Source organism: Homo sapiens, chromosome 12, assembly GCF_000001405.40.
Source record: "Homo sapiens chromosome 12, GRCh38.p14 Primary Assembly".
In the NCBI taxonomy this organism is placed as follows: Eukaryota; Metazoa; Chordata; class Mammalia; order Primates; family Hominidae; genus Homo; species Homo sapiens.
The window spans coordinates 110,265,707-110,271,706 of record NC_000012.12 but is presented as its reverse complement, the minus strand read 5'-3'; the positions used below and the strand labels follow the sequence as shown (position 1 = coordinate 110,271,706).

The 6,000-nt window shown below is 45.8% G+C and overlaps 1 annotated feature.

The window, feature by feature from the left end:
* Positions 2,005 to 2,607: an enhancer, noted in NCBI's record as "H3K27ac-H3K4me1 hESC enhancer chr12:110706905-110707507 (GRCh37/hg19 assembly coordinates)". NCBI's record gives its function as "activates a minimal SCP1, AML or CMV promoter by ChIP-STARR-seq in naive H9 embryonic stem cells {active_cell/tissue: H9 hESC(naive)}" and the evidence as "EXISTENCE:reporter gene assay evidence [ECO:0000049][PMID:30033119]".

The following is a 6,000-nucleotide window of genomic DNA, read 5'->3' as shown; positions in this document are numbered from 1 at the left end:
GATAAAACAGGTTGCAGTAAAGAAGTGGCCAAAACCCACCAAATCTAGGATGGCGATGAGAGTGACCTCTGGTCGTCCTCGCTGCTATACTCCCACCAGCGCCACGACAGTTTACAAATGCCATGACGTCAGGAAGTTACCCCATATGGTCTAAAAAGGAGAGGCATGAATAATCCACCCCTTGTTTAGCATATCATCAAGAAATAACCATAAAAATGGGCAATCAGCAGCCCTCAGGGCTGCTCTGTCTATGGAGCAGCCATTCTTTTATTCCTTTACTTTCCTAATAAAGTTGCTTTCACTTTACTCTGTGGACTCGACCTGAATTCTATTACTCTTTTGGGGTCTGGATTGGGACCCTTTCCTGTAATAGAATCATATGCACTTAGAAGGCATGCAATCAAAACTTCTTGAATAAATGCATGATAATTATTTGCAATGAGGACCTTGAGTCCTTCCTTATCTATTTTGTGCCCCCAGCGACCAGTGTAGTGCCAGGCACATAGCAGATGCTCAGTGAATATCTACCAAATTAATTAGTGAAGACCTTTGCTTCCTTTGCAATTACTGCTCTGAAGAAAAAAAAAAATCTTGCCATCTTAAAAAAAAGAAAGAAAAGAAACCCATATAGCAGTGCCAAACAAAGTACTGTGGAATGGTTCTCAAAACCATAGCTCCCTGATGGGATAATGTAGTTTAAATATAGCAGCTATTTTTCCCTCTAGTTGGTTTGTTCTTTGATTTTTGTGGAAAGATTTCAAAAGTTCTCCTCCATTGCCCTCCTTCCTCACCCCCCAAGGTGCTTAGACTTTAAATGGTGAAATACTTAAAATGCAGAGATGGCCTGGCCTCCTGAGCCTGGTAGAAGAAAGAAGAGTGATTAAATGCAATTTTAATTTTATAGGATGAGTTCTCTGATTCTCCCTTCCCTGCCGGGTGCCAGGGTGTTGCTCTCACAGTAGTGGTAGCAGCCCCAAGCAGGTTGGGTTTCAGTCTGGCAGAAATCCAAGGACAGTGCACACAGCAGATAGGGTTGCTGTGGACAAATTCCTAGAATAGGATCTTTGTTCCCAAGCTGACCAGCTTGCTCCCTTGATGTCCCACAATAGAAAAAAAAAGGGGGGGGGGTGTTGGTGGAGGCATGTTTAGGTCTCCCATTGTGATCCTGCTGTAGTTACCTGATAGTTCACAAAAGATCCCAGGAGGTTGGCAGCCCTCCCAAGTTACCTTGTGATTCTCTCCTGATTTCAAATAGGGGGAGGGAGGAGGACACCATGTATCCTAAGAGAAGCTTGTCTGACATGCCTGATCCGTTCCATCTGGGAAGATGCATCATGAACCCCATCTGGCTCCAGCAGTCTGGCTAAGGCTGAGGCTGAGGCAGCCGTGGGCTCCCAGCACACCCCCACTAGCTCCATCCCTCTCAAGCCCGCTTATCCTTCATCTTCCCCTGAAAGAAACAGATCACAGCTTCTGTCATTTGCAAGACCTCCCCTGACTCCCTATGCCCTGGCCTTTTCTGCAATCGCCTCTGCTTCTTCTCCAACTGTGGCTTCTCTGATCTCCCAGCCCTCTGCAGATGCCGTGTTGATTGGAGGCCCTCTGCAGATGGCAGGGCCCCTGTGAAAATCCAGTTCTTTCACCTGATCCTCCTGCACCACCCAGAGTATGTCCTGATTTGGGAGACAGATACACCTATTATAAGGTCCTGTCCCGTGTCTTGCAAGCTGGAGTCTAGAGGTACTGGACAATCGTTCCCGTTCTGTTAGCTGCTTCCCATCTCAACCAGTAGAGCCATGGCCTCTTTGGCCTTCAACCTTAACATTTAAATCTTCTCACGGGGGTCCAATCTGCATGGATGGGGGATGGGAGGAGTCTAAGAAAGCAGAGGCTTGGCTGGAGACGTTTGCAAACATTAGACGTTTCTCTTCCATGACTCATCGGAGGAGAGCAGTCCTCCCTCTTCCTGGAATGCAGCAAACCCATGGCCAACTCCTACCCCCACCCCATCCCCAAAATAAAACAACCCACACCTAGAGCTCTGTCCTCAGAAATCAGATTTCCCTCAAACATCTGACATGGCAACTTGGGGGCAGGGAGCATTCTGAGACCACAGAACAGCCTCTAAGAGGATTCTCTGACCTGAGGGGAGAGAGGGGGCTGCAGTCATAGCACATGTATCATTAGGATGGGTCTTTTCCAGAAAGCGCCTTCACCTTCCTGTCCTCCCCCAACCGTTCTTCTTAGTAGCCTCCCAGTATAAAACTAGGGGTAGACAACCGACCATTCCAGCAAGGCTTGATTTCATTGGTACATAAAAGGGTTCTAGAAAAAAAATAGGCTGGTGCAGATAAAAAGGAAGGAAGGAGGCAGGGTGCGGTGGATTATACCTGTAATCCCAGCACTTTGGGAGACTGAGGCGGGCGGATCACCTGAGGTAAAGTGCAGTTTGAGACCAGCCTGGTCAACATGGTGAAATCCATGTCTACTGAAAATACAAAAATTAACTGGGCATGGTGGCATGCGCCTGTAATCCCAGCTACTTGGGAGGCTGAGGCAGGAGAATCCCTTAAACTCGGGAGGCGGAGGTTGCAGTGAGCAGAGATCATGCCACTGCACTCCAGGCTGGGTGACAGAGACTCTGCCTCAAAAAAAAAAAAAAGGAAGGAAGGAGGCCGGGTGTGGTGGCTCACACCTGTAATCCCAGCACTTTGGGAGGCTGAGGTGGGCGGATCACTTGAGATCAGGACTTTGAGATGAGAGTGGCCAACATGGTGAAACCCTCTCTCTACTAAAAATACAAAAATTAGCTGGGTGTGGTGGCGCTCACCTGTAGTCCCAGTTTCTTGGGGGGCTGAGGCAGGAGAATTGCTTGAGCCCGGGAGGTGGAGGTGGCAATAAGCTGAGATTGCTCCACTGCACTCCAACCTGGGTGACACAACGAGACTCGGTCTCAAAAAATAAAAATAAATAAATAAATAAATCAAAAGAAGGAAGGGACAAAAAGGAAGACACCATTTAATAGACATGCATTTGCCATGCATGCAATGTGCTGGGACCTTTTCACATGTTGTCTTAGTGCATCCTTAGGACAAGCCTGTCTGGTACGTATCATTATCATTCCTATTTTTCCAGGTACTGAAAGTTGATTCTCAGAGAGGTTAAGTCACACAAATTAGAAATCACTATTCAATAAACATCTTTGGGAATAGAAGATTATTTGTAGGGAGAAGAATTAGCTTGGATCTATTTCTAACACCATGAAATGCAATCCGGCTGGGCGCTGTGGCTCATGCCTGTAATCCCAGAACTTTGGGAGGCTGAGGTGGGTGGATCACCTGAGGTCAGGAATTTGAGACCAGCCTGGCCAACATAGTGAAGCCCCGTCTCTACTAAAAATACAAAAAACTAGCCAGGCAGGCATGGTGGCAGGTGCCTGTAGAGGCAGGAGAATCGCTTGAACCCGGGAGGCAGAGGTTGCAGTGAGCTGAGATCGCACCACTGCTTGGGCAGCAAGAGTGAAACTCTGTCTCAAAAAAGAAAAGAAAAGAAATGCAATACATTTCATATTGGAAAGAGTGTTAAACATTTTTTTAAAAGTCTGTAAAACAATGAAAAGAAGCAACAAAACTATATAGGTGTGGAGGTCAAAGTGGGTGGATCACTTGAGGTCAGGAGTTTGAGACCAGCCTGGCCAACATGGCGAAACCCTGTCTCTACTAAAAATACAAAAATTAGCGGGGCTTGGTGGCACATGCCCATAATCCCAGCTACTTGGGAGGCTGAGGCAGGAGAATCATTTGAACCCGGGAGGTGGAGGTTGCAGTGAGCCGAGATCACGGCACTACACTCCAGCCTGGGTGACAGAGCAAGACTCCATTTCAAAAAAAAAAAAAAGTAGATAGGTGAGGAGGGGAGAGAAAACTTCTAAGTACTTCAGGTATAGAAACACTTTAAATTTGCATAATAAAATGTTATAAAACAAATGGAGGGAATGTATGCATGGGGTTTTAGAAAGAAACTAGACGACTCCTGGAAAACCTTTTAATGCTAGGAATCTGTGATTCTCTGACTGCGCAGAAGCACTCAGAGACCCACAAAGATTTTTATTATAGCAAATATCTCCTCAACTGGTTCTTGGACCAGTTTAATTTCCTGATCCCAGATCTGTCCCTACTCCCCGCTGTGGCAAGGGGAGAGAGGATCATTCTGAGTCACGAAATGCAGCCCTGTCCAGGGTGGGGAAGGGACAGCTGCTTAATTTGCAGCACATGTTGCTGAGAAAAGTGGTAAAGCAGAGTTCCCCTTCCACTGAAAGCTGCACAAGGAGGCTTCCGCCAGCTGAATGCAGTGACCTGAGCTGGAATTCTGCCAGGACAGTGGGATTAACTTCCCAAGTGCTGGCCAAAAAGGGCCCCGGGATTTTTATTTTTATTCATTTTCCATTACAACTGCACAGCAACGCAAACAAGCCCCACAACAATGTGAGCCACCAAGAGTCATTTTCCTTTGCTGGGTGCCATGTCAATACCACACATCTTGCTGACCTCATTTTACCGAAGTTTTAAGATGGGGAGCTTGATTACTTACTTCCCTGCTGACGATAATGGGAGAAAGGCATTGTGATTGCCCAATTAAAGCTGTATGCTTTAAAGGCGAAATAAAGCAACACATGCACACGGAGTCCACTGTACCCAGGGATAATAATTTAATGGGAAGTCAGTGGAAATCCAAGAAAATATAGGTCTAGCTCCCCAAGTCCCCTAAGATCAGGGGCCCAGAGGCACAGGGATTGGAGGAGATCTGACCACAGGCAATTAAATGTCAATTAAAAAGGGGGTCCAGTGGGGAGGGAAGGTAAAGGGCTTAGTGCATTAGAACCAGGCTCCAGGCTAATGAGACTCCTCAGAGAGGGCTTTGCACATGTTAGACAGGGGGTGTGTTTTAACTTGTGATTTGCCCTGTTTTTCCAGTCACATGATTCAATATTATCACAGTCTTCAAAACATCACCTTTTGGAAAACGTGGAGAGACAAATTCAGAGAATTGCAGGCACCAGGTAATACTGTATGCTCTTAGGCAAGCTACTTAATCTGTGTCCCTATTTCCTCAATTATAAAGAGTGGATAATTGAATCTACCTCATGTAGTTTTCGTGTGAGTTACATGAGAGACTGTGCATGTGATGTGCCTTGCACGTGGCTGGCAGCACTAGTAGAGAGACATTGCAGGCACCTTCATCTTAGGCTGATCTTAAGGCCCAGCCCTCCTAAAACGTAAACCATTTGATTTAATCTTGTAACAACAAACATATCCATTAACGTTATGGAAGATACAGAGACATTATTGAAGGTATAGAGGCTTCAAATTCCCGCCACCCCCGTTTTTAAAACTAAGACACATTTCAGGCACAGAAAAAAGTACAATAATAATATAATAAACACTCATCTATGCACCATTTAGAAATAAAACATTATTGTTAGAACTGAAGTTCCTTGTATGTTCCTTGAAACTCATTCTCGACCTTTCTTTCCCAGTGGTAACCTCTATCCTGAACTTGGGGTTTATCATTCTCATGCATATTCTTGTATTTTTACTATAGATAAGTATATCCACAAACAACAATGGGCTAGGCGTGGTGACTCACACCTGTAATCCCAGCACTTTGGGAGGCCGAGGTGGGTGGATCACACGAGGTCAGCAGTTCGAGACCAGCCTGGCCAACATGGTGAGACCCCATCTCTACCAAAAAAAATCAAAAATTAGCTAAGTGTGGTGGCGCTTGCATGTAATCTCAGCTAGTCGGAAGACTGAGGCAGAATTGCTTGAATCTGGGAGGTGGAGGTTGCAGTGAGCCGAGATAGTGCCACTGCACTCCAGCCTGGGCGACAGAGCGAGAGTCTGTCTCAAAACAAACAAAAACAAAACAAAACAATGCAAACTGTATTATCTGGTATTTTTCATAGTTTACACAAAACTTACAAATTTTGTACATATCCGG